Source organism: Homo sapiens, chromosome 4 (assembly GCF_000001405.40).
Source record: "Homo sapiens chromosome 4, GRCh38.p14 Primary Assembly".
Lineage (NCBI taxonomy): Eukaryota > Metazoa > Chordata > Mammalia > Primates > Hominidae > Homo > Homo sapiens.
The window spans coordinates 9655974-9682144 of record NC_000004.12 but is presented as its reverse complement, the minus strand read 5'-3'; the positions used below and the strand labels follow the sequence as shown (position 1 = coordinate 9682144).

At 44.7% G+C, this 26171-nt stretch overlaps 1 long non-coding RNA gene and 1 pseudogene across 5 annotated transcripts in view; both read right to left on the bottom strand.

Moving 5' to 3' along the window:
- The window catches only part of LOC124900660 (uncharacterized), a 31530-nt gene extending 8410 nt beyond the window's left edge, over nucleotides 1-23120 (bottom strand). For 2 of the 5 annotated variants that reach the window (XR_007058017.1, XR_007058018.1), the window contains exons 1-3: nucleotides 17425-23120; nucleotides 10798-10927; nucleotides 4211-4834 (exon numbers count right to left, since the gene is read on the bottom strand). This is a non-coding gene — a long non-coding RNA (uncharacterized LOC124900660). Of the gene's footprint in view, nucleotides 1-4210; nucleotides 4835-10797 lie in introns of all 5 variants that reach the window. The other 3 variants (XR_007058016.1, XR_007058019.1, XR_007058015.1) reach the window with 3 other exon arrangements.
- Nucleotides 4211-4837, bottom strand: ENPP7P11 (ectonucleotide pyrophosphatase/phosphodiesterase 7 pseudogene 11; annotated as a pseudogene).
- Nucleotides 23121-26171: the final 3051 nt, after the last annotated feature.

Sequence of the window (26171 nt, the reverse complement as noted above, 5' to 3'; positions counted from 1 at the left end):
CTAGGCTGGTCTTGAACTCCTGGGCTCAAGTGATCCTCCTGCCTTGGCCTCTCAAAGTGCTGGGATTACAGGCATGGCCCTTATATCTGGCCCTTAAAGCTGCTTTTTAATAACAGCTTTATTGAAAGATAATTCACATACCACACAATTTTCCCATTTAAAGTGTACAATTTGGCCGGGCATGGTGGCTCATACTTGTAATCCCAGCACTTTGGGAGGCTGAGGTGGGAGGATCGCTTGAACCCAAGAGTTTGAGATGAGCCCGAGCAACATGGCAAAACCCTGTCTCGACCAAAAATACAAAAAAATTAGCTGAGCATGGTGGTGTGTGTCTGTAGTCCCAGCTACTCAGGAGGCTGAAGTGGGAGGATGGTTTGAGCCTGGGAGGTGGAGGGTGCAGTGAGTTGAGATTGTACCACTGCACTCCAGCCTGGGCAACAGAGCCAGACCCTGTCTCTAAATAAATAAATAAAGTGCATAACTCAGTGGTTTTTAATATATTCACAGAGTTGTGCAGCCATCATCACCATCAATTTTAGAAATTTTAATTACCCCAGAAGAAACCCTGTATCCATTAGCAGTCACCCCTTATTTCCCTCCAACTATCCCCACCCCTGGCCCCTGGAAACCATTAATCTACTTTCTGTTTCTTTGGATTTTCATATTCTGGGCATATATATATACACAGAGAGAGAGAGAGAGAGAGAGAATCATCTCATATTTGTCTGGCTTCTCTCACTTAGCCTAATGGTTTCAAGGTGTATCCAGGTTGTAGCATGAATCAGCCGTTCATTCCATATTTTGGCTGATTAATGTTCCATCACACGGGTAGACTGTACTTGTTTGCCCATTCTTCTGTTGTTGATAGGCATTTGTGTTGTTGCCACCTTTTGACAATTATGAATAATTTTGCTATGAGCATCTGTGTGTGTCTTTGTATGAACAGGCTTGCATATTTTTTGATATGGGCAAATGAGAACCAGCGGCGGGGGGCTTCTGTGGTGACTTTTTTGGTGATCTTTGTGTACTCTGTATAATGATTGGCCACTCAGGCTTGGGGGCAGCACTTAACCTTACATTTCTTTCTTTTTTTTAAGATAGGGTCTCTCTCTCTGCCACCCAGGCCAGAGTGCAGTTGACGCAGGGCAGGGGAGCCCCGAAATGGAGCATAGTGTGTCTGGAACTGGTGGGTTCTTGGTCTCACTGACTTCAAGAATGAAGCCACGGACCCTCGCGGTGAGTGTCACAGTTCTTAAAGGCGGCGTGTCCGGAGTTTGTTCCTTCTGATGCTCAGATGTGTTCAGAGTTTCTTCCTTCTGGTGGGTTGGTGGTCTCGCTGGCTTCAGGAGTGAAGCTGCAGACCTTCGCAGTGACTGTTACAGCTCATAAACGCAGTGTGGACCCAAAGAGTGAGCAGCAGCAAGATTTATTGCAAACAGCAAAAGAACAAAGCTTCCACAGTGTGGAAAGGGACCCCAGTGGGTTGCCACTGCTGGCTGGGGCAGCCTGCTTTTATTCCCTTATACGGCCCCACCCACATCCTGCTGATTGGTCCATTTTACAGAGAGCCGATTGGTCTGTTTTACAGAGAGCTGATTGGTCTGTTTTGACAGGGTGCTGATTGGTGCATTTACAATCCCTGAGCTAGACACAAAAGTTCTCCAAGTCCCTACTAGATTAGCTAGATACAGAGTGTCGACTGGTGCGTTCACAAACCCTGAGCTAGACACAGGGTGCTGATTGGTGTGTTTACAAACCATGAGCTAGATACAGTGTGCCGATTGGTGTATTTACAATCCCTTAGCTAGACATAAAGGTTCTCAAAGTCCCCAACAGACTCAGGAGCCCAGCTGGCCTCACCAAGTGGATCCCACATGGGGGCCGCAGGTGGAGCTGCCTGCCAGTCCTGTGCCCTGCACTGGCACTCCTCAGCCCTTGGGTGGTCAATGGGACTGGGTGCCCTGGAGCAGGGGGCGGTGCTCATGGGGGAGGCTCGGCACTCATCGGGGAGGCTCAGGCCACGCAGGAGCACATGGCGGGTTGGGGGGAGCCTCAGGCATGGCGGGCTGCATGTCCCGAGCCCTGCCTACAGGGAAGCAGCTAAAGCCCGGCGAGAAACTGAGCAAAGCAGCTGCTGGCCCAGGTGCTAAGCCCCTCACTGCCAGGGTCCAGCAGGGCCAACGGGCCACTCCGAGTGCGGGGCCCAGTGAGCCCATGCCTACCCAGAACTCGCGCTGACCCACAAGCGCCGTGCCCAGCCCCGGTTCCTGCCCGCGCCTCTCCCTCTGCACCTCCCCACAAGCTGAGGGAGCCGGCTCCAGCCTCGGCCAGCCCAGGAAGGGGCTCCCACAGTGCAGCGGCGGGCTGAAGGGCTCCTCAAGTGCCGCCAAAGTGGGAGCCAAAGCAGAGGAGGCGCCGAGAGTGAGCTTGAGGGCTGCCAGCATGCTGTCACCTCTCAAAAGTACGTGAGGGTTCTTGTCTTTACCCAGGAAAGAATTCAAGGGCAAGCCAGAGGTATAGAAGAAGACAGCTTTATTGAAGAGGCAGCATTACAGCCCTGTGACTGCTCCTGTAGGGCAGGGCTACCCTGGAGGCAGAGAACAGCGGCAGAGAGTTTGCAATCACATTTATACCCACTTTTAATTGCATGCAGATTAAAGGGCAGTTTATGCAGGAATTTCTAGAAAATGGGTAGTAACTTTTGAGTCATTGGGTCATTGCCATGGAAAGGGGCAGTAACTCCTGGGTGTTGCCTTGGCAATAGTAAACTCACATGGCACACTGGTGGGCATGTCTGATGGAAAGCTGCTTCTGCCCCAGCCCTGTTTTAGCTAGTCCTCAATTTGGTCTGGTGTCCAAGCCCTGCCTGTGGAGTCAAGTCCTGCCTCCTATCTCACAGTGGCGTGATCATGGCTCACTGCAGACTCAACACCCCCGGGCTCAAGCAGTTCTCCCACCTCAGCCTCCTGAGTTGCTGGGACCACAGGCACGTGCCACTACACCCAGCTACTTTTTTTGCATTTTTTGTAGAGGTGATGTTTCACTGTGTTGCCTAGACTGGTCTCAAACTCCTGGGCTCAAGCAGTCTACCTACCTTAGCCTTCTAAAGTGCTGGGATTACATGTGTGAGCCACTGCACCCAGCCCAACCTTAAATTTTTAATCTCAAGTCGCTTCTCTCTAGGTTTTGATTTCTTCTTTAAAATGGTGGAACTAAGATCATCTATTTTATAGGGCTGTTGGGAAGACAAAAATGAAAGAACTGCTATTCAATGTTTAGTGAAGAGCTATGCACAGTTTTGAATAATGAAGTTGGTGTTTATTTTTTATTATTTGTTTATTTATTTTTTAGAGGCGGGGTCTTGCTCTATTGCTCAAGCTGGAGTGCAGTGGTGCAATCACAGCTTAGTGCAGCCTTGACCTCCTGGGCTCAAGAAATCCTGCCACCTCAGCCTCCTGAGTAGCTGGGACTACAGGCATGCATCGCCATGTCTGGCTATTTATTTATTTGTTTGTTTTTTGTAGAGATGGGTCTCCCTATGTTGCCCGGGCTGGTCTTGAACTCCTGGCCTTAAGCAACCCTCCTGTCTTGGCCTCCCAAAACACTGAGATTACAGGTGTGAACCACCATGGCCAGCCTTATTTTTATTTTTAAATCAGCCTTGTCAAGTTGAATTGGTCATTAATCTTGTATAATGGTAATTTGGGGCAGCATTGGTTGGGCGGGGGGTGGGGAACATTTAGGACCCTGTGGGCTACAACTCGTAGTGTGTGCACTTATTTTATTTTATTTTGTTTTGTTTTGTTTTATTATGTTATATTATATTATATTTTTTTGAGACAGGGTCTCACTCTATTGCCCAGGCTGGAGTGCAGTAGCATGATCTTGGCTCACTGCAACCTCTGCCTCCCAGGTTCAAGCGATTCTCCTGCCTCAGCCTCCAGAGTAGCTGGAACTACAGATGTGCGCCACCATGCCCGGCTAATTTTTGTATTTTTAGTAGAGATGGGGTTTCACCATGTTGGCCAGGCTGGTCTCAAACTCCTGACCTCAGGTGATACACCTGCCTCAGCCTCCTGAAGTGCTGCGATTATAGGCTTGAGCCACCCTGCCCGGCTGTGCACTTATGTTTGATTTTTGCAGAACCACCCTTCTCTAATGGTTGTCTCCTAGATCCAAGGTGACTTTATTCATTTTAGAATGAACTTACCCCATTGATACTGTAACCAGAGTTGGCATACATCACGATTGGCAGAACCTGGTCATGTTTAGCAAGATGGAAATGCTCTGGAAACTCCTCCTTCTTGAAGATGTGGAGGTGAGGGTATGCATTCTTCAGTGCCTGGTAAAGGGTTTCCTCTTGCCCCAATTTGGGTAGGGGCATCCCAAAGCCACCGTAGCCCACAATATCAAACTTGACCAAGTTCCTGAACTTGATGTAGTTGGACAAGGGATCTTGTTGACATTGGGTCTCTTCTTCACGGTGGTCATCCCATGGTCTCATGTGATGATGATGCTGAGGTGCTCTGCAGGCTGTGCTTCTCAGTGGCTCCCACCAGATACCCGATGGTCCTGTCGATTTGCTGAATCATCAACTTCCTGTTCTCTGCCTCTGGCCCAAATCGATGTCCCACGTTATCTGGCTCTCTGTAGCACAGAGTCACAAAGTCAAAGTCTTCCTAGGTGAACCAGTTCATGACAGTATCGATGTTCCCCTCCGCTCTGTCTCGTTGCTGTTTGGGTGAATGTAGGACTCCACCAGGGACCGCTTGACAGCCTCACCCTTGTATTTAGCACCTCCCCTGGAATAATGGAATGATGCCGCTTTGTTCCCCTGCAAGTACAAGAAGAAAATTCCATCAGGGCTATTTCTCATACCTTTCTCACAATCAGCAAAGCTCGAGTTGTCTACATCTGTGCCCCAGTCCAAAGGCATAGGAAATATGTGATCTTTGGAGTCAGACAGGGTGGAGTTAGATTCTGGGCTTCCCGAGGATCTCATAGCATCTACAACATTGTTAGTTACAAGATGTGCTATTATGTTATGGGCTACTAAGCAGAAAAATGCTGCCAAGGAGACCGTGACATTCCAGTGATTGTAAGGTGTATTCCAACTTCAGAGATGGCAAGATGAAAAATAATTCCTTAGAATAGAGGGAGAGGGTAATTTCTGAGTTGGTGGTGGTGAATTTGTGCATGTGTGTTTTTTATATATATACATATATATATACACACACATATATACACGTATACATGTATATATACACACATACATATATACATATACATATATACATGTACATGTATATATGTGTGTCTATATACATATATACATATACATGTATATATGTGTGTCTATATATACATATATATGTATATATAGTGGTGCAGTAGTACAATCATAGCTCATTGCACCCTTGAACTTCTGGGCTTAAGTGATTCTGCCACCTCAGGCTCTTGAGTAGCTGGGGCCACAGGCATGTGCCACCATACCTATTTTTTTTTTTTTTTGAGACACAGTCTCACTCTGTCACCTAGGTTGGAGTGCAGTGGTGCAATCTCAGCTCACTGCAACCTCTGACTCCTGGGTTAAAGCAGTTCTCGTGCCTCAGCCTCCCAAGTAGATGGGATTATAGACATGTGCCACTATGCCCAGCTAAGTTTTGTATTTTTAGTTGAGATAGAATTTTGTCGTGTTGGCCAGGATGGTTTTGAATCCCTGTGCTGAAGTGATCCACTTGCCTTGGCCTCCCAAATTGCTGGGATTACCTGTGTGAGCCACCGCGCCTAGCCCTGATTTTTTTTTTTTTAATATTTATAGAGATGAGGTCTCACTAATTTGCCCAGGCTGGTCATGAACTCCTGGGTTCAAGTAATTCTCCTGCCTCAGCCTCTCAAAGTGCTGGGATTACAGGCATGAGACACCTTGCCCGGCTGGTGGTGAGTTTTAAAATCTCCCAGTGCCTCAGCGTCTCAGTGTTTCTACCTGTAGAATGCCAAAAAGTAGATGGCATCTTTGTGAGGATTAAGCAGGCTAGCTTTTTATTTTTTTATTTTTATTTTTTTATTTTGAGACAGAATTTCTCTCTTGTCACCCAGGCTGGAGTGCAATGGCATGATCTTGGCTCACTGCAACCTCCGCCTCCTGGATCCAAGTGGTTCTCCTGCCTCAGTCTCCCAAGTAGCTGGGATTACAAAGCCAGCTAGCTTTAAGATACAGTGTTGGGCATCACATTTTGGCACAGAGCAGGCACTCTTTTCTTTGCCCCCAGGTGGGACTAAGCCACCACAAGCCTTTCCTGGTGTGTGCAGTGGGTGATGAATGCTTGCCTGCTCAGCACCCACTCCCTGGTGGACTGGGTCACATTACTCTGACTCCCCCTTGAGCTTCAGTCCACGTCTGGTTCAAGATGTATTGACTCAACCCGAGGATCCAGAGGTGGGATGTAGCTCTGGCCTGGCCAGAGGACTGAGGATGCTGAATGCCATGGCTACAGCAACTGGTCAGCTTTGGGCTCATGTTCTAGTCAGAGCCAGTGAGATGTAATGTTGGGATATCTGCTGGGCTGTTGGGAAGGGGAAAGGCTGCCCTGCTCATCCCCATTCCTGATGCTGAGGGATCTGAGAAAATCACTTGTAAAATTTGGGGGTGTCTGGAAAAAGGGGAGACTGATGTCTCTTTCTCTCTACAGACATCTGATCAGCTACAGAGCTTGACTAACCTACCCAGAGGCAGAATGATATGGTGGTTAAAAGTGGGCTCTGGGACGAGTTTTTGCCACTGTACTCCAGCCTGGACGACAGAGTGAGACTCCATCTAAAAAAAAAAAAAAAAAAAAAAAAATAGTGTGCTCTGGGCTGGGTGCGGGGGCTCACGACTTTAATCCCAGCACTTTGGGAGGCTGAGGCAGGAGGATCGCTTGAAGTCAGGAGTTTGGGATCAGACCCTATCTCTAGAAAAATGTTTTTTAAAAATTAGCTGTGTTGGTGGTGAATGCCTCTAGTCCCAGCTACTCGGGAGCCTGAGGTGGGAAGATTGCTGGAGCTCGGGAGTTCAAGGCTGCAGTGAGCTATGATCAGGCCACTGCACTCCAGTTTGAGGGACAGAGAGAGACCCCATCTCTCTGAACAACAAAAATGTGTGCTCTGGTGCCGCACTGCCTGGTTAGATCCTTTGTCCACCACTTAGATGCATGTTATATTAATGCTCTCCTCAGTTTCCTTGTCTGTAACTTGGGGATGGTAATGCTGCCCCAAGAAGTGGTTATGGGGACTAAATGCATGTGGGCATATTGGTAAGTATTCAACAAGCTTGATTTTTCCTGGAGAGGGAGAAAGAGCATGTAGTGAGGTGGCATGCTCAGGTGCATTGGGACAAGGATTATTTCCTCTGGCTTCTGCCTCCTGGGAGATACTAAGAAGTGATCTGAAATGTGTCTGCAGACCCCAGAGCTGGGGACTGCAGAGGAAAATTGAGATCAGGGACCCCAGTCTGGCAGAAATGTGTGCAGCATGGGGCATTGTGTTCCTTCCATCAGAGGCATGGGGTGTGTTGCAGACAGTCTTGAAATGTGACTGAATCTTGCAAGGGACCCACGGTCCTAGGGTTGCCACTTGAGACAAAGACCCCTGTCAGTGGAACCTGGTGACCTTCACCCTTCTGTATCAGGCTGCAGACAGCAAGAGATGGCAGCAGATTACACCCAACAGGAAAAGGTCCATTGCCGTCCCACAGGTTGCCATAGGAGGAGATGACATCTCTCCCTCTCCTCCTCCAGCAGTGTCAGCTGGGGAAGAGGTGGGTGGGTGTGCACAAAAGAGTAGACCACAGAGCATGCTCCTTCTCCTCCAGTCTGCTGGGGCCCCCAGAGAGTCTGCAGCCCTTGGCCAGGGACCGGCTGACACAGGAGAACAAAACAGCTTAGGCTGGGATAACATAGTGGTGCAGTTCATCCTCTGGCGCTCCCTGTGAGATCAGACTGGAGCCAGTCTCCTGCTGAGACCACATCTCACTTAGCTCCTGCCCTGCCATATCCTGTTTTCCTTACTCCTATCTCCTGAGAGTTCTTCCTGAATCAATTACATGCACTCAATCCCTGCCTCAGGCTCTGCTTTTAGGGAACTTGAGCTAAGACAGAAATCTTACTACTAAATACTTTGCAAGGCCTCAGAAGCTCTGCTATCCACAGGCAGGTGAGATATTACCTTCCCTACTGCCTGGCAGTCATAGTCTGTGATGCGATTCAGCTTTATGGAAGTGCTTCTCTAAAGAACTTCCCCCAATTTAAGATGATCTTAATTTGCTCACTTGTTTACTGTCCATTTAGCTGCTCTAAAATGTGAGCTCCAAATCAGGGGCCATGTCTGGTTGGTTACCCATTTCCTGGGACCTAGAACAGGCCTAGCTCAGAGCAGGTGCTCACTATTGATGGAATGCATGTTGAAAGAATGCATGAATCTCATCTCCTTTTGTGGGTGAAAAACTCATCCTATTCTCACCCTGATTAACTTTCTTTCTTTCTTTCTTTCTTTCTTTCTTTCTTTCTTTCTTTCTTTCTTTCTTTTTTCTTTCTTTTTTTTTTTCAAAATGGAGCCGTGATCTGTCACCCAGGCAGGAGTGCAATGGTGTGATCTCTGCTCGCTGCAACCTCTGCCTTCTGGAGTAAAGCAATTCTCCTGCCTCAGCCTCCCAGGTAACTGGGATTACAGGTGCATGCCACCACGCTCGGCTAATTTTTTGTATTTTTAATAGAGACAGGGTTTCACCATGTTGGCCAGGCTGGTCTCGAGCTCCTGACCTCATGATCTGCCCCCTTTGGCCTCCCAAAGTCCTGGGATTACAGGCATGAGACACCATACCCAGCCACTCTTGATTAACTTAATGGAAATATTTACAGGTATTCTTTCTCTTTTGGGTTCTAGCGTCTTATCTGTAACCTCTGCAGGTAATACATTTTCCTTCCTGATGATAGCATTTCTATGGTTGCTTTCACTTGCAAATCCTCTAATACTTATTTATTCCATTTCTGATGCGCACTAGACATAATTCTCAACTTTTAGCGACAGCACTTTGTTTAACTTACATATAAATCGACTTTGCCTTGAAATGTGACATTGACGAGAAGGATGAAACTTCTAACATGCAGTAGAACACAGTTTGACTGGCTAATTTATTATTTAGAAGAAGCTAATATTGCCATTATGAGGGACTTAGGTAGCACTGAAGAACCAGTTGTATTTCTAATGTTTGCAATGTTAAATCACAGATATTGCCAACGTGAAATAGTTTCCATATGCTGTGTTCTCAATACACACCTTTTCCAAAGATATTCCAAGCTGTAGTCTTAGGAAACTGTGATTTTTCTTATTTGGTCTCATAGGAATTTGGGGAGCTATGCGGGATCTCCATAAAACGAGCTCCAGAAAAACACATGTGTGCACACACACACACACACACACACACTCACACATGTACCACACCACACTTGACTCTGTTTATTTGGGACACTTGATTATCAGAAGTGCTATTTTCAACAAATACTTCTGAGAAATAATCTGAACACTTAATTGGATGCAAAAGAATGGGTATTTATTATATAATATATATTATATATAATATATATTATATATATTAAATATATATTATATATATTATATATATTAAATATATATTATATATATTATATATATTAAATATATAATATATATATATAGAAAATAATCAGTGTTTCCAGCAGCAAAAGCAATTAGAAAATCGCTAGTTTTATTAGGTTCATTATTCTCCCTTAGCGTAGTGTGGCATCAGCATGGCTATTATTCCTAAATTGCCTCTTTAAAACAAGGGCTGGTGCTTCTTACAGGCAATTCCTAACTCTTGGGTTTTGTAGAGGGTCCAAAACTCTTTGGAACCTATAATTCAAGGAAAGGCTCCACTTTGGTTTTGCATTTTGTGTGGTCTCTTTGGGTGACTGAATTTATGTCACAAGGTGCACATGTTTTGGGGAGGCTCATGGACAGCCCATCGCTCTTGTGTTTTGGTAGGAAGTACGTGCCATTAAGGGGAAGGACTTAGTTACTGATTCTAGGGAACAATTGGGTAGAAAGAGATGGACTCCCTGTATTTGAAATTCGAACTCAAGCTTGGCTCTAAGTGTTTCCTTGCTTTGCTGTGCTCCAGGGGAGTCACTGAGCAGAAGGAAGCGAGTTGCCTGAGATTCCTCAAAGCCCGCAGCCCTTTTGGAGGTTACATTGTTATTCTCAGAAACTTTATGATGCATAATAAAGACCTAGCTTAGACCAATATTAGGATGAGTTATCTTGCTATTAACATTCTTTTAGGTAGAAGTTGCTGGTCCCATCTTGCTCACAATCCTCCAAAGTTTGGAAGTTACTTTCCAGGAGACTTAGCTTGCACTGAGAGCTGCCCTCCCACCCTCTCTCCAAATTTCCTCTTGGGGGTAGCCTAACAAGGTGCTGTCACAGACCCTTGCCAGCCATGATGACCCCACCCAGACCATCCCTCTGCTGTTTCACTCTTTGATACTCTGGAGCTCTCTGGGGAGGGGTGAGACCTGCTGTCTGGTTTGTACGGTTTGCCCAGGTCTTACAGTCATGGCTGGCTGCCTCTCTCTGAGAACTGGGACTCCTGAACTTGGTGAAATACCTCAGCCATCAATCATGTTAAATTATTGGGGACACTCATTTAAAATCCGAGTCTGCTCCAGATGGACTTCTCTCTTTCTGCCCAGACCGTGAGAGAGAGACCGTGAGAGAGAGAGAGAGAGACCGTGCCCTGACCTGCTGGACGGTGGAGATGCTCGTGGGCTGTGAGCAACAGATGCAAAGGCTGCCGGGAATCCCATCTTTCCAGCATCATCTGCCAAGGCACATCAGTTCCTGGGTGTCTTGATGGGTTCTGGCAGCATTACTGTCATTGAAGGAAAACATTTTAGCCATATTAAAGGTGAATGCAGCAATCCCCACACAGGCTGCCTAGAAGGGACGCGGGACAAGGGTAGGTTTTCTCTGTGATGGACAGGAGGCAGGCGGCCCTCCCACAGCCCTGCCTGGCAATGCAGATTTGTTCCCAAAAGGCACTGGGGGTCAGCTGGAGTGCTGTGCCAAGGCGGGCTCACCCGGGCCGTGGGTTCGCTCTGATTTCAGTGGTTTCCCACCAGCTCCTTGGAGAGCTGGCAGATGACCCAGCCCCACGGCGGAGCTGTGAATGGCAGAACGAGATACAACAATTTGATATCCACTTGCCAGATGAGCTGGGTGTCGTCAGTCACCTGGCTCTGCGCCAACCTCTTTTTGCACAAACACTTATGAATTCAGCCAGGAGGAAAAGCACTCTGATTATGAATTGAGCAGAAGGAAACAAAGTTCTGCAGATAAACACCAATGAGACAAAAAACCACGAATAAGAAAAATGACAGAAAAGGAGAACCTTCCCAGAAGCCTCCTGCCAGTGAACGGCCACCATAGCAAGAGCATGGAGGCCCTGGGTTTTGAACTGTGAGATAAGGAAGATGATGAAAACCTCCCTAGCAGCCAGGCAAGCACAAGATTCCTGTGAAATCCAGATCTAAGCGTTTTGACCACAGAAGTAATATTATGTCATAGATGAGAGCTGTGAGTTGCTGAACCCATAGTGAGTTCAAATCCGAGCTCTGCCTCCTGCTACCTGTGTGACTTTGAGAAGTTCCAGCACCGCTTTGTGCCTCAGTTTTGTCATCTGTTAAATGGGCATAATCATAGCTCCTGCCTCAAAGTAGTTGTAAATTAATACATGTAAAGCACTGAAATCATCCTGGTATACAGAAATTGTTATGGACGTTATTTTCTTGGAAGGACAGAACTTATTTTCATGGTCTAATCCTAAAAGTCTAAAAAATGTGAGAGAAGAGGAAAGAATCTAGAGTCTCACCATGAGGGGGAAAAGTCAACTTGAAGCAGGACAGGGTCATTGACAATTTCCTGTGATTCCACAGCTGCCTTGTACACTATGGTAGCTCCTAGCCACTTGTTGTTTAGATTTTGTGATTTAGAAATTAATTAAGGCCGGGCATGTTGGCTCACACCTGTAATCCCAGCATTTTGGGAGGCCAAGTTGGGCAGATCACCTGAGGTCAGGCGTTCAAGATCAGCCTGGCCAACATGGTGAAATCTCGTCTCTACAAAAATACAAAAATTAGCCGGGCATGATGGCGCGTTCCTGTAATCCTGGCTACTCAGGAGGCTGAGGCAGGAGAACTGCTTGAACCCGGGAGATGGAGGTTGCAGTGAGATGAGATTGCACCACTACACTCCAGCCTGGAGGACAGAGTGAGACTCTGTCTCAAAAAAAAAAAAAAAAAATAGTTAAGAGAAAATTGAAATTTCAGCTCTTCATTCTCACTAGCCACATTTCAAGGGCTCAACAGCCCATGTGGGTGGCTAGCAGCTCCCATGTTGGACAGTGCAGAGTAGAGCAAGCCCGCCATTGCAGAATGTTTGATTGGACCGTGACTGAATAGTCTAGTGCAGTGGTCCCCAATTTTTTTTAGCACCAAGGACCAGTTTCCATGTATTTGTGGGGGGAAATTTCAGGATGATTCAAGTGCATTACATTTATTGTGTACTTTATTTCTATTGTTATTAACATTATAATATATAATGAAATCCTTATACAACTCACCACAATGTAGAATCAGTGGGAGCCCTGCACTTGTTTTCCTGCAACTGGATAATTCCATCTCTAGGTGGTGGGAAACAGTGACAGATCATCAGGCATTAGATTCTCATAAGGAGCACACAACCTAGATCACTTCCACATGCAGTTTATAATAGGGTTGGTGCTCCTATCAGAATCTAATGCCACTGCTGATCTGACAGGAGACAGAGCTCAGGCAGTAACGCTAGCCATGAGGAGCTGCTGTAAATACAGATGAAGCTTCACTCACTAGTCCACTGCTCACCTCCTTCTGTGCAGCCCAGTTCCTAACAGGCCACAGACCGCTACTGGTCTGTGGTCTGGGGGATGGGGACCTCTGGTCTATTGGATAACACTGGCTTGGAGGGTACTGATCAGCCAAAGAAGCGCTGAGATGATTTGGCCTCCATTAATAAGAATGATGGACTTTTTTTTTTTTTTTTTTTTGAGACAGTTTCACTCTTGTTGCCCATGCTGGAGTGCAGTGGCACCATCTCGGCTCACTGCAACCTCTGACTCCCAGGTTCAAGAGATTCTCATGCCTCAGCCTCCCAAGTAGCTGGAATTACAGGTGCCTGCCACCATGCCTGACTAATTTTTGTGTTTTTAGTAGAGTCGGGGTTTTGCCATGTTGACAAGGCTGGTCTTGAATTCCTGACCTCAACAGATCCACCTGCCTCAGTCTCCCAAAGTGCTGAGATTACAGGTGTGAGACACCGTGCCTGGCCACATGGACTTTTTTTGAGCATTTATTTCCAAGCACCTTCCCTGCATTTTCTGTTAATCCTCCCAGTGACTCTTTGAAGCAGGGACTATGATAATCATCATTTCACAGATGGAGCAACTCAGGCACAGAGAGCAAGTCAATGGCCACGGTCGCCCAGCTAAGGAAGGATGGAACCGGCTGAGATCCTGTTCTGGGGATCTAACTCTGCAGCCTGCATTCTGGGCTGCTGTATTCTCCCATGTTGCTATCTGACGAGCACAGCATGGGCTCAGAGTACAGAGAGGAGGCACCAGCTAATAAGGATAGGTCTGGGGTGAAGGCTAGTGCCTTGGGGAAGAAGAGAGAGGTCGCATTCTAAAGGGATGGCATTGGAAGTTCATAGTGATAAAGCAAGGCCAACAGATTTTGGGCCTGGGAGTTAAACACACAGCTCTGGTTTCTGCCTTTTCACAGCGGTGATGAATGGGCACTGAGAGCCTCTCAAGCTAAAGTTGTCATCACTGCTCTTCATAGTCTGAAGGTGCATGAAATGGTCAACTTTTTTCCAAAGGGCTTTTATGCCTAAGTCTGTGGTTAGTGTATAAACAGATATTTACTGAAGTCCTGCTGGGTGCAGACACTGTGGCCAACCCTGACGCTACAGTCGAGATGAAGCCAGTTTCTGTCCTCATGGAGACCTGTCTATTGATAAGAAAAGAGAAAGCTCACTGAGCATTGACCCTGTGCCTACTGCTTTTGATGCATCTCTCATTTAATCCTTCTATCAAATCTGTGAAATAAACACATCACCATCATCCCTATTTCACATTTAGGGAAACATATGCTTAGAGAGGGTAAGTAACTTGGTCAAGGTCACACAGCTTCGAACTCTCATCCCACAGGTGCAGGAATGAGAGGCAGCAGCTGTGGAAGCCAGGGTCTCTGGCAGTCCTTGTCTCTGGGTGGTGATCCAGAGAGAGAGAGAACATGATTGTCTCAGCAATGGGTCTTCTTCTGAGTCGTCTTGAAGGAGTAATTCCAGAGCGTCTCGGTGTTAAACATCATGTTGTGAATGACTCCGTGAGCTCTGACCCAGTGACCTTGGGGATAAAGGAGGGGAGGTACAGAGAAACTCTTTGAATGGATGTTACCGGGGTGTCAGTGTTCTTTGAGGGCACAGGCTATGTGTCACCAAATTGAAGGGGTGGCCTGCCCCTCCACCCCTGTGGGTATTTCTAGTCGGGTGGGATGAGTGACAGAGAAAAGAAATAAGACACAGAGTCAAAGTATAGAGAAACAACAGTGGTTCCAGGGGACAGACACTCAGCACATAAAGGACGTGCACTGGCACCGGCCTCTGAGTTCCCTCAGTTTTTATTGATTATGATTTTCATTATTTCAGCAAAAAGAAATGTAGTAGGAGAGCAGGGTGATAATAAGGAGAAGACCAACAAGAAATATGTGAGCAAAAGAATCTATATCATAATTAAGTTCAAGGGAAGGTACTATGCCTGGACGTGCATGTAGGCCAGATTCATGCTTCTCTCCACCCAAACATCTCAGTGGAGTAAAGAACATGGCAGCATTGCTGCAAACATGTCTCGCCTCCCGCCACAGGGCAGCTTTTCTCCTATCTCAGAGTTGAACAAATGTACAATCGGGCTTCACAGCGAGACATTCAGTTCCCAGGGGCAAGCAGGAGACAGTGGCCTTCCTCCATCTCAACTGCAAGAGGCTTTCCTCTTTTACTAATCCACCTCAGCACAGACCCTTTAAGGTATCGGGCTGGGGGACAGTCAGGTCTTTCTCATCCCATGAGGCCATATTTCAGACTATCACATGGGGAGAAACCTTGGACAATACCCTGCTCTCAAGGGCAGAGGTCCCTCTGGCTTTCCACAGTACATTGTGCCCTTGGTTTGTTGAGACTAGAGAATGGCGATGACTTTTACCAAGTATACTGCTTGTAAACATTTTGTTAACAAGGCACTTCCTGCACAGCCCTAGATCCCTTAAACCTTGATTTTATACAACACATGTTTTTGTGAGTTTCAAGTTGGGTCAAAGTGGCTGGAGCAAAGTGGCTGGGGCAAGGCTACAAATTAACAATATCTAAGCAAAGCAATTGTTTAAAGTACACGTCTTTTTCAAAATGGAGACTCTTATGTCTTCCTTTTCTACATAGACACTGTGACAGTCTGATCTCTCTTTCTTTTCCCTGCATTTCCCCCTTTTCTTTTTGACAAAACCGCCATCGTCATCATGGCCCATTCTCGCTGGTCGCTGTCTCTCCGGAGCTGCTGGATATACCTCTGTAGACTAACAATAGAGAGGACAGACATACAAGAATTAATACAAAATTTGCAATAGTGGAATTTCCAATGGTTTTAACCCAAGTGATAGGGTTAAGATTTGTGAGGCTGTCAACAGCTTTTACCATTGCCTCAGTTTCTGGCACCAGATTTAACTGGGCTTTTGATGTTTCAAAAATTTGTTCTTTCAATTTAGAAATATCTAAGGTAAGATTATCTTCTCTTCCTTGTAGATGGCATCTAACCATGTCCCAGTGATGTTCAGATTCATTATAGGCTCGAGGTCTAATACAAAAATCTGACGTATTCCAGTCACACTGTAACTGAAAAAGATATTCCAAGCTCATGAGCCTATCTCTTATCCAAATAACAGTTTGTCTAAGATCATTAATTTGATTTGCCAATTTTTGATCTATTTGAGTCTGAGAATTCCACAATTTTGAGGAATTCTTTTGCCAATTATTCACATATTCTGCAGTTTGAACAGAGGAGTGTAAAGCAATTCCAGCAGCCGCAGCAGTAGCTGTGACTGCAATAAGACCCATAATCACTGCAATCAGAGTAAAAATGAATCTTTTAGATCTAGTTAGAACTCCTTTTACTACTTCTGTTAAGATATGTACGGATGGAGAAGCCTCCCACCGTCGACCCATGGACACAGGGATCCACACGCCTTCTCTTGCCCTTACTAACAGAATACCATGCTGTCAGTCAAAAGTTGAATCAATGCAAGTAAACAATCTACAATTTTCACAGCTTATAGTTTGGGAATCTGGTTTAATAGCTATGTTTCCTACAACTAACATATAAGGGGGTTTTACACAACTTTGCAAAGGAATTGTCAGATTGGAATTTAGGTTAATAGTATAATATGGCTTATGATTTCTTGTTCCCATAACTTGATTTCCAGACCAAATTCTAATGTGGTACGAGGCCACAGTGAGCTTTCATAATTCTGGGTGTTCAGGACCAACAACAGGACTAACTAACTTTGGTCGGGGTGATGGAATCCCCTTTTCACCCCATTTCCATGGATAGGGTGATTCTAGCCTTCTATAAACCTGGTCTAGCCTTTTAGTTAAGTCACCATCGTAGGCCAGATTAGTGGGCCAGACAGATGGAGCCTGTGAACATGAGTGGGTCTGGCCCATACAGTCATAATATAATTGGCCTCGAGGGGCCCAGTCTATAATAATTCTGAATTTATTGTTTTGTAGTACCACTGCAGTATCAGCCACACATTCTTCCCAAACTAAGACTTCTGGGTCTTTTGATTCTTCTGGAATTTCCTTCTGGCATGGTTTCCATTTAGGCCTAAATTTTAATGATCTTTGATAGGAAGAATTCTGTAAATTATTCATTTGTGACCCAAGTGACATTCCACTTATCATATGATAAGTAAATTTACTGGTGGCACTGACAGTAGGTTCTTCTACCAACCAATTTTGGATTGTAGGCATTAAGCATCCTGGTGTTTTTCCCAGGCAAATAGAAGGATAATGATACCCAATGGAAATGTTTATCATCATTCCTTCTTCTTCAGGTTGGGCAGGGCCACGGTCATCTGTGGGTCCTGGTACCCATGCACTGTTATTAACATATACTTCAATAGGATTATCTATCCAAGTGACTGCCCGAATTAAGGGTGGGAAAGGCACATAGGCCCAGTAAGTATAGTTAGCTGTAGCAGCTCCTGCAGACATAGGGAGACTTACCACCGTTGATACAATCATTAAAGCTGCAAGCAGCTTATTCTCTGGAGTTTGTGTTACCCTTGTGTTTTCCAGGCTTTTTTCAGCTAACTGTGTCAGCTTCTTTAGCTGGGCCCAGGTCGGCGGCCCCGCTTTCTTGGTGGATGGCAACTTCATCTGTTCTTCTGATATCACCATTTTGTTCACCCTGCGAGTCAATGATGTTCGATTGCGGGTTCTCTGTCTCTGCGGAGGTGCCTTCCCTTGCATCTCTGATGGGTTCATTGTAGAACTTCACATGTCTAGTGGGTACCCAAACAGGAAGCTGATTTTCTCCTGGCGAAACACAAGCAAAACCTCTCCCCCATGTCATCACCTTACCTATTTCCCAAGTTTTGTTTTTGTTGTCTTTCCACCAAATCAGTTTTCCCTCATGTGGGCTGTTCTTTTTACCAGTAAAATGTTATTCTGCAGAAGTAGTGGTCTGATTTCTATATATATTTAAAACATTTAAAGTATATCGTGCTAGATTAAGTTGCATCTGGGGAGTGTTATACTCCTTACTGTCTTTTTCCTTTTTTTGTTTAACCAATTGAGCTTTGAGTGTTCTATTAGTTCTTTCAATTATGGCCCGTCCTTGGGAATTACAAAGGATTCCTGTTGTATGTGTAATTTTCCACTGATTTAAGAATTTTCGAAATGCTTTACTACAGTATCCTGGCCTATTATCTGTTTTAATTTTTTCTGGAACTCCCATGACTGCAAAACAAGATAATAAATGTCTTTTAACATGGGAAGTACTTTCTCCTGTCTGGCAGGTTGCCCATATGAAATGTGAATAAGTATCAACTGTCACATGGACAAATGACAGTTTTCCAAATGAAGGTACATGTGTGATGTCCATTTGCCATAATGCGTCAGGACATAAACCTCTAGGATTAACTCCTGCCTCTTGAGTGGGCAGGTGTAAGACTTGACACTGAGCACAATGTTGTACAATATTTTTTGCTTGTTTCCATGTGATATCAAATTTGTTTTTTAATCCTGTTGCATTTACATGAGTCAGGGCCTGAAGTTCTTGTGCTTCCATGAAGGCAGATGATACTAGCAAGTCAGCTTGTTCATTTGCCTTAGTTAAAGTCCCTGGTACATTAGTATGTGCTCGAATATGAGTAATATAAAATGGGAAACTTCTTTTTCTAACAGTTTGTTGTAACAATTTAAACAGCTGATTTAACTGATCATCCACACTATATTTGATTAGGGCTGTCTCAACATCCTTTGTAGCCTGTACTACATATGCAGAATCTGAAACAATGTTAATAGGCTGATTAAAATCTTGTAACACTGAAATGACAGCAACCAATTCTGCTCTTTGAGCTGAGTGATATTGAGTTTCAGTGACTCGTTCTTTTGGCCCAGTGTAAGCTGCTTTTCCATTGCTGGAACCATCAGTAAACACCGTCAGAGCATTTCCTGGAGGTTTTTGTCTGGTAATTTTAGGTAAAATCCAAGTAGTCAATTTCAAAAACTGGAAGATTTTTGCTTTTGGGTAATGATTGTCAATAATTCCCACAAAATCAGCAATACTAATCTTCCGTGCGCCAGAATTGATAAAGGCTTCTCTAACCTGTTCCTTATTTAAAGGAACAATGATTTTATCTGGGTCATTTCCACACAATTTTACTATTCGTAGTCTTGCCTGACCAATTAATGTACCCATTTGATCTAAGTACAATGTAAAAGTCTTAACCGTACTGTGAGGAAGGAATGACAACTCCACTAGATCTGTATTTTGAACAATAATGCCTGTTGGAGAATGTGCAGTAGCAAAAATTAAAAGTTGGAGTGGGGCTAAGTGATCTATTTACTTGTGCTGACTGAATTTTTTCTTAAACTAATTCTATTTCTTTAGTTGCCCCTGGAGTTAATGTTCTTTTACTATTTAAGTCTGGATCCCCTCTCAAGATAGAGAACAAAGTTGACATGGCATAAGTACGGATGCCTAGAGTTGGCCAAATCCAATTAATATCTCCTAGCAATTTTTGAAAGTCATTTAATGTTCTTAATGTGTCTTTTCTTACTTCTACTTTTTGTGGTTTAATTTTTCTCTCCTCTACCTGCATTCCCAAATAATGAAAACGAGTGGAGGTCTGAATCTTATCAGATGCTATTGTCAGGCCTGCATTTGCAACCTCTGTCTGCAGAAATGTGTAACCGTCAATTAATTTGTCTCTTATTTCTGCAGCACACAAAATATCATCAACATAATGAATGATATAACAGTCTGAAAACTTGTCTCTAACTGGTTGAAGAACTTGAACTACAAAAGTCTGACACACAGTTGGACTATTAAGCATTCCCTGAGGCAACACTTTCCAATGAAATCTGGTGGCTGGTTCTTTATTATTTCTGGCTGGTATAGTAAAAGCAAATTTTTCAAAATCCTGTTTTGCCAGAGGAATGGTAAAAAAGCAATCCTTCAGATCAGTTATAATTAAAGGCCAATATTTGGGGATCATGGCTGGAGAGGGCAGCCCAAGTTGGAGAGGCCCCATGGGTTGAATTACTGCATTAGCGGCTCTTAAATCAGTTAGCATGTGTCATCTGCCTGTTTTTTTCTGAATTACAAACACAGGAGAATTCCAAGGCGAAAATGAAGGCTCAATATGTCCCTTTTCCAATTGTTCTTTTGCCAGTAAGTGTAAGGCTTCCAGCTTTTGTTTTGGTAGTGGCCACTGATTTACCTTTATAGGCTTTTCTGTTTTCCAAGTTGATGGAATGGGTTTTGGAGGCTCTACAGTGGCCACCCTTAAGAAGGATACCTTAGTCCTTTTCTTTCTGGATTTCCCTTAGCCTCAATTGGAACTTTAATGCCTTCTCCATTTTTGCCTAGTCCTTTGCCAGGGAGATATCCCATTTTAGTCATGATTTTTTGACTCGTGGGGCTGTATAGAGAGACTGGAATGGTAATCTCTGCATGCCACTGTTCTAATAAGTCTTGGCCCCATAAATTAATTGGAATAGAAGTAATCATAGGCTGAACTGTACTCTCTTGATTATCAGGTCCTAGACGATGTAAAATCCTGGCACTTTGATACACTTCTGAGGCAGTGCCCACACCAACAAGTCCTGTAACAGGCTTTTGTTTAGGCTGATTTTTTGGTCATTGATTTAAGGCAATGAGAGAAACATCAGCCCCAGTATCCACTAATCCTTCAAACTGTTTTCCCTGAATAGTAACTGTACACACAGGTCTATTCTCTGAGAGCTGACTAGCCCAATAAACAGCTTTTCCAGCAGGGTTGGTACTTCCAAACCCTCCTGTTCTTTCTGTTTTGTTATCCCCAATTTTAATATAAGGCAAGAGCAGTAATTGAGCAATTCTATCACCTGGATTGGCACTCCAGGGAACAGTAGAGCTGATCACTAACTGAATTTCCCCTTTATAATCTGAGTCAATTACCCCAGTATAAATTTGAACTCCTTTCAAATTTAGACTAGATCTTCCTAAAATAAGGCCTACCATCCCTTCTGGCAGTGGGCCATATACCCCTGTAGGAATCTTTTGCGGGGGCTCTCCAGGGAGTAAAGAAATCATTTGAGCAGAACATAAATCTACTGCAGCGCTGCCTGCTGTGGCAGGGGATAGTTGTTGTATTGTTGTAATTGGCTGATTTCCTGAAATGGTGGTATTTACTGTGGGGGTTGTTGTCCCTGAAAACCCTGAGGAACAAATGGCTGAATCGGGAATGCCCCACTTTGTTGCGGGGCCTGGGGCTGGCCCCTCTTCCCATTTCCCGACAATGGCTGTCCAATTTCATCAAATTTAGAAAGACATTCCTTAGCCCAATATTTTCCTTTTCCACATCTTGGACACAGGCCAGGTGGCTCTTTTTTTTTTTTTTTTTTTGCTCTGTTTATTTAAGCCTAGGCAATTCTTTTTTAGATGTCCGATTTGACCACAATTATAACATTTTTCCCCAAATGTTTTAACTTGTCCTCCTAAAGCAACCCCTGTAATTGCTTGAGCCAATAACATTGCCTTACGCATAGCTCCTCCAATCCCATCACAAGCCTTCACATATTCTGTAATTACATCAACTCCTGCTGAAACCTTTCCTCTTAATGGCTTTATGGCCGATTGACATTCTGGATTTTCATTTTGATAAGCTATTATTTCTACAGTAACTTTTCGGGCGTTATTATCTGCAATGGATTTTTGAGCTGCATCTTGCAACCTTGCCACAAAGTCTGGATATGGATCTTTAGAGCCTTATCTGATTGAACTAAAAGCAGAGCAGGAGGTTCCTGGGTCCTGAATCTTTTCCCAGGCCCTGAGGCAAATAGCCCTTAGTTGTTCAGTAGCCTCATTTTGCATTACTGATTGTTGGTTAATAGTGCCCCAATTTGGACCTGTTCCTGGTAATTGGTCTGCATCTATATAAGCAACAGGATTAGTAGCCTGATTTTTTCATACCTGTTCATGTACCCCATCAATCCACCAGGTTTTAAACTGTAGATACTGAGAGGGTGAAAGGGAAGATTTAGCCAAAATTTCCCAATTATAAGGAATAAGTCTATTTCCATGAGCAATGGAATCTAATAATGTTCTCATATAAGGAGAGTTAGGTCCATATTGTTTAACTCCTTCCTTCATATCTTTTAACATTTTTGTGGTGAAAGATTCATATCTGGTCTCAGTTCAGACAGACGCTCCTGCTTGACTCCCTTTCCCGGCCGGCATCGGTTGTAACATTACCAGATATTGCCATGCCTCAAGATCTCCCTGTTTTCTGGCTGTAGCAATGGTCTCATGCAGTGCACTATCTTGTCCACTAGGTGGTACTGTAAGATCAAACGCCATCGCCGTGGGTTGTTGATATAGTGCCTTGCTATTTGGCACAGGACGCACCTCCTGAGATCCATACTGAACCTCTGGAGACGGCCGATACTGAAATTCGGCTGGCGGCTGGTGTTGATAAACTACCGATGGTTGGGTTTATTTTCTACTGGCTGGTATTGCGGATACTGTGCCTGGATTGGCATTTGAGATTGTGACATCACAGGCATCTGAACCGCGGGAGAAGGGGTTGGTGGCCATCTTGGTCTAAACTCTGATGGCCCAAATAATTCTGGAACTCCTTCTCCCAATTTTGATGATTCAGGATACATTACCTCCTGTAATTGATTATAGTCAACATTTTGCATTGACCGAACCATTACAGGCTCTACTGCATTTTTACAATGTGTACTTTCCATTCCTTTCTTAAAGTCTGTTCCTGCCTCTTCTTCACAATCTATTACACAGCTTTCAGGGGCATCAAAGACTGAAACGCCATCTTCTTCTATTTGAAATTGTTCTAAAATTGCTTTAATAATGGCCCAATCATTCCATGCTGTAAGTGGGATGATCTTACCTTCCCTAGTTGCTTGTTGTAGTTCTTTGCCAATTTTTTCCCCATCATTTAAATCTAAAATTCCCTGTTCTGGAAACCATGGGCGGAATTGTTCTATTGCTTGAAATAGCGTAACTAGATTTTCTGTAGAAGCTTTAACTCCCCCTCTTCTTAAGAGAATTTTAATGAAGCTGAGATAAGAAGCATATTTACTTTCAGTTTGCCCCATTGTTACCCTGGATTCCTCCGAGCGCACAAGCTTACCTCAAGGCTGACTGTGGACGTACTCGGGAATCTCTCGTCGGCTGTCCTCAATGCTCACGTTCTTAGGGTACCTTCACCCTAGAGAAGGGCCCCATGTTGGGCACCAGATGAAGGGATGGCCTGCCCCTCCACACCTGTGGGTATTTCAAGTCGGGTGGGATGAGAGACGGAGAAAATAAATAAGACACAAAGTATAGAGAAACAACAGTGGGCCCAGAGGACCGGCACTCAGCACACCAAGGACCTGCACAGGCACCGGCCTCTGAGTTCCCTCAGTTTTTATTGATTATGATTTTCATTATTTCAGCAAAAAGAAATGTAGTAGGAGAGCAGGGTGATAATAAGGAGAAAGTCAACAAAAAACGTGAGCAAAATAATCTATATCATAATTAAGTTCAAGGGAAGGTACTATGCCTGGATGTGCACGTAGGCCAGATTTATGTGTCTCTCCACCCAAACGTCTCAGTGGAGTAAAGAATAACAAGGCAGCATTGCTGCAAACATGTCTCGCCTCCTGCCACAGGGCAGCTTTTCTCCTATCTCAGAGTTGAACAAATGTACAATCGGGTTTTACACCGAGACATTCAGTTCCCAGGGGCAAGCAGGAGACAGTGGCCTTCCTCCATCTCAACTGCAAGAGGCTTTCCTCTTTTACTAATCCACCTCAGCACAGACCCTTTACGGGTATCGGGCTGGGGGACAGTCAGGTCTTTCGCATCCCATGAGGCCATATTTCAGACTATCACATGGGGAGAAACCTTGGACAATACCTTGCTCTCAAGGGCAGAGGTCGCTGCGGCTTTCCACAGTGTATTATGCCCCTGGTTTGTTGAGACTAGAGAATGGTGATGACTTTTACCAAGTATACTGCTTGTAAACATTTTGTTAACAAGGCACGTCCTGCACAGACCTAGATCCCTTAAACCTTGATTTCATACAACACATGTTTTTGTGAGCTCCAGGTTGGGTCAAAGTAGCTGGGGCAAAGTGGCTGGGGCAAAGCAACAAATTAACAACATCTAAGCAAAGCAATTATTTAAAGTACAGGTCCTTTTCAAAATGGAGTCTCTTATGTCTTCCCTTTCTACATAGACACAGTGACAGTCTGATCTCTCTTTTCCCTACACAAATAAAGAACCCAGTAACTTTTCTCATTGCTCAGGAGATTGAAGGGGTAGGAAGAAAAGATGTTAGGTTATAAACATGTTTCAGTTTTGTTACCACTTGAACCAATTTATGTTTTGAAGAGGAAAGAGTCTTGCCTACAAAGTCAGCCCCTGGGTTTTCCTTCTGCTTATGGAATCCAGGGAATGGGCAAAGAGAAAAAGAAAACTAAGGAATCAGCCAGATGCAGTGGCTCATGCTTGTAATCTTGGCACTTTGGGAGGCTGAGGCAGGTGGACTTCTTGAGTCCAGGAGTTCAAGACCAGCCTGGCCCACATAGTGAGACCCCGTTTCTACAAAAAATACAAAAAGTTGCTGAGCATGGTGGCATGCACCTGTAGTCCCAGTTACTTGGGAGGCTGAGGTGGGAGAACTACTTCAGCCCAGGAGGTTGAGGCTGCAGTGAGCCATGATTGTGCCACTATACTCCAGCCTTGGTGACAGAGTGAGGCCCTGGCTCAAAAGAAAACAAAAAAGATAAGAAAAAGAAAACTAGGGAATCTGGACAGAATAAGTTTATATATATAATAAAGAACTGAGATAGAACTGGGTTGACTGAATAATTATTTGAATTGCTTTTGAGTGAATTTTTCCTATTGGAGTCTACCTTTGTGTGTGTGTGTGTGTGTGTGTGTGTGTGTGTGTGTGTGTGTGAGCTTTTTTGTTTTTTTTTTTGGTTTTTTTTTGGTTTAGTTTTGTCTTTGTGTTTTTTTGAGACTGGGCCTTGCTCTGTTGCCCAGGCTGCTGGAGTGCGGTGGCACGATCTCAGCTCACTGCAACCTCTGACTCCTGGGTTCAAGCAATTCTTCTGCCTCAGCCTCCCCAGAAGCTGGGACTACTGGGCATGTACCACCAAGCCCAGCTAATTTTTGTATTTTTAGTAGAGATGGGGTTTCACCATGTTGGCCAGGCCTGGTCTTGAACTCCTGGGCTCAAGTGATCCACCTGCCTCAGCATCCCAAAGTGCTGGGATTACAGCTGTGAGCCCCTGCACCCAGCTAGAGTCTACCTTTCTTTGAATTCATTGCAGTGCAAAGACTGGGACATGTGGAACTCCAGGTGTATATGGGTTATGTAGAGACGCTAGGGGCTGATTAAGGAAGGAAAGATATGAGAAGCCTGCAGAGCATGCTTTCCCAGACTGTATGGGCCCTGGGAAGGGAGAAGTGGACAGAAAGGGAACACTAGGTGCCCTGGAAGAGAAGATTCATCCAAGTCATCAGGGAAGTTACTAAAGCAAGGGAAAAAATGCAGAGACGGGGACAAACACGCTTCTTCCAAGTCCTTTCTGTCCGCTCAGTCACCTCTATGCTTATTTTTCTTCTTTCCCGTAAGTAGTGTCATGCGTTTTCTTCCCATTCCTAGTCACTCCTAGTCAACTAACTCCTCTCTTTACCATCTTTTCATCAGAACTTGAATCCTCCTCTCCTTTATGTATTAGTGATCGTGTTTCTCCATAATACTGCTAGAAACAAGAATTGAAACCTGGAAAACCTGCATTTGAGAACCAGATCTGCCTCTGCTAGCTATTTGAGAAGTGATTTTGTTCCATTCTTTTTGTTGTTGTCGAAACAGGGTGTCATTCTGTCGCCCAGGCTGGAGTGCAGTGGTTCAATCTTGGCTCACTGCAGCCTCAACCTCCTGGGCTCAAGCAATCCTTCCACATCAGCCTCCTGAGTAGCTGAGACTACAGGTGTGTGCCACCACAGCTGGCTAATTTTTAATGGTTTTTTTTTTTTGTTTACTTTTTTTTTTGTAGAGATGGGGTCTTCAGTGCCCCATTGCTCAAACCTCTAGGGGAGCACGCAGACAGGCAGCGAGCCCCATGGCAGTGTCCAGGGGTGAATGTTTATAGTTGAAGCACCAGTGGGCGTGTGTTACAGAGTGCTCTTTTAGTTTAGCCATCTGTAGGTAGCTTGTGTTAGTCGGCTCAATTAGAGCTCC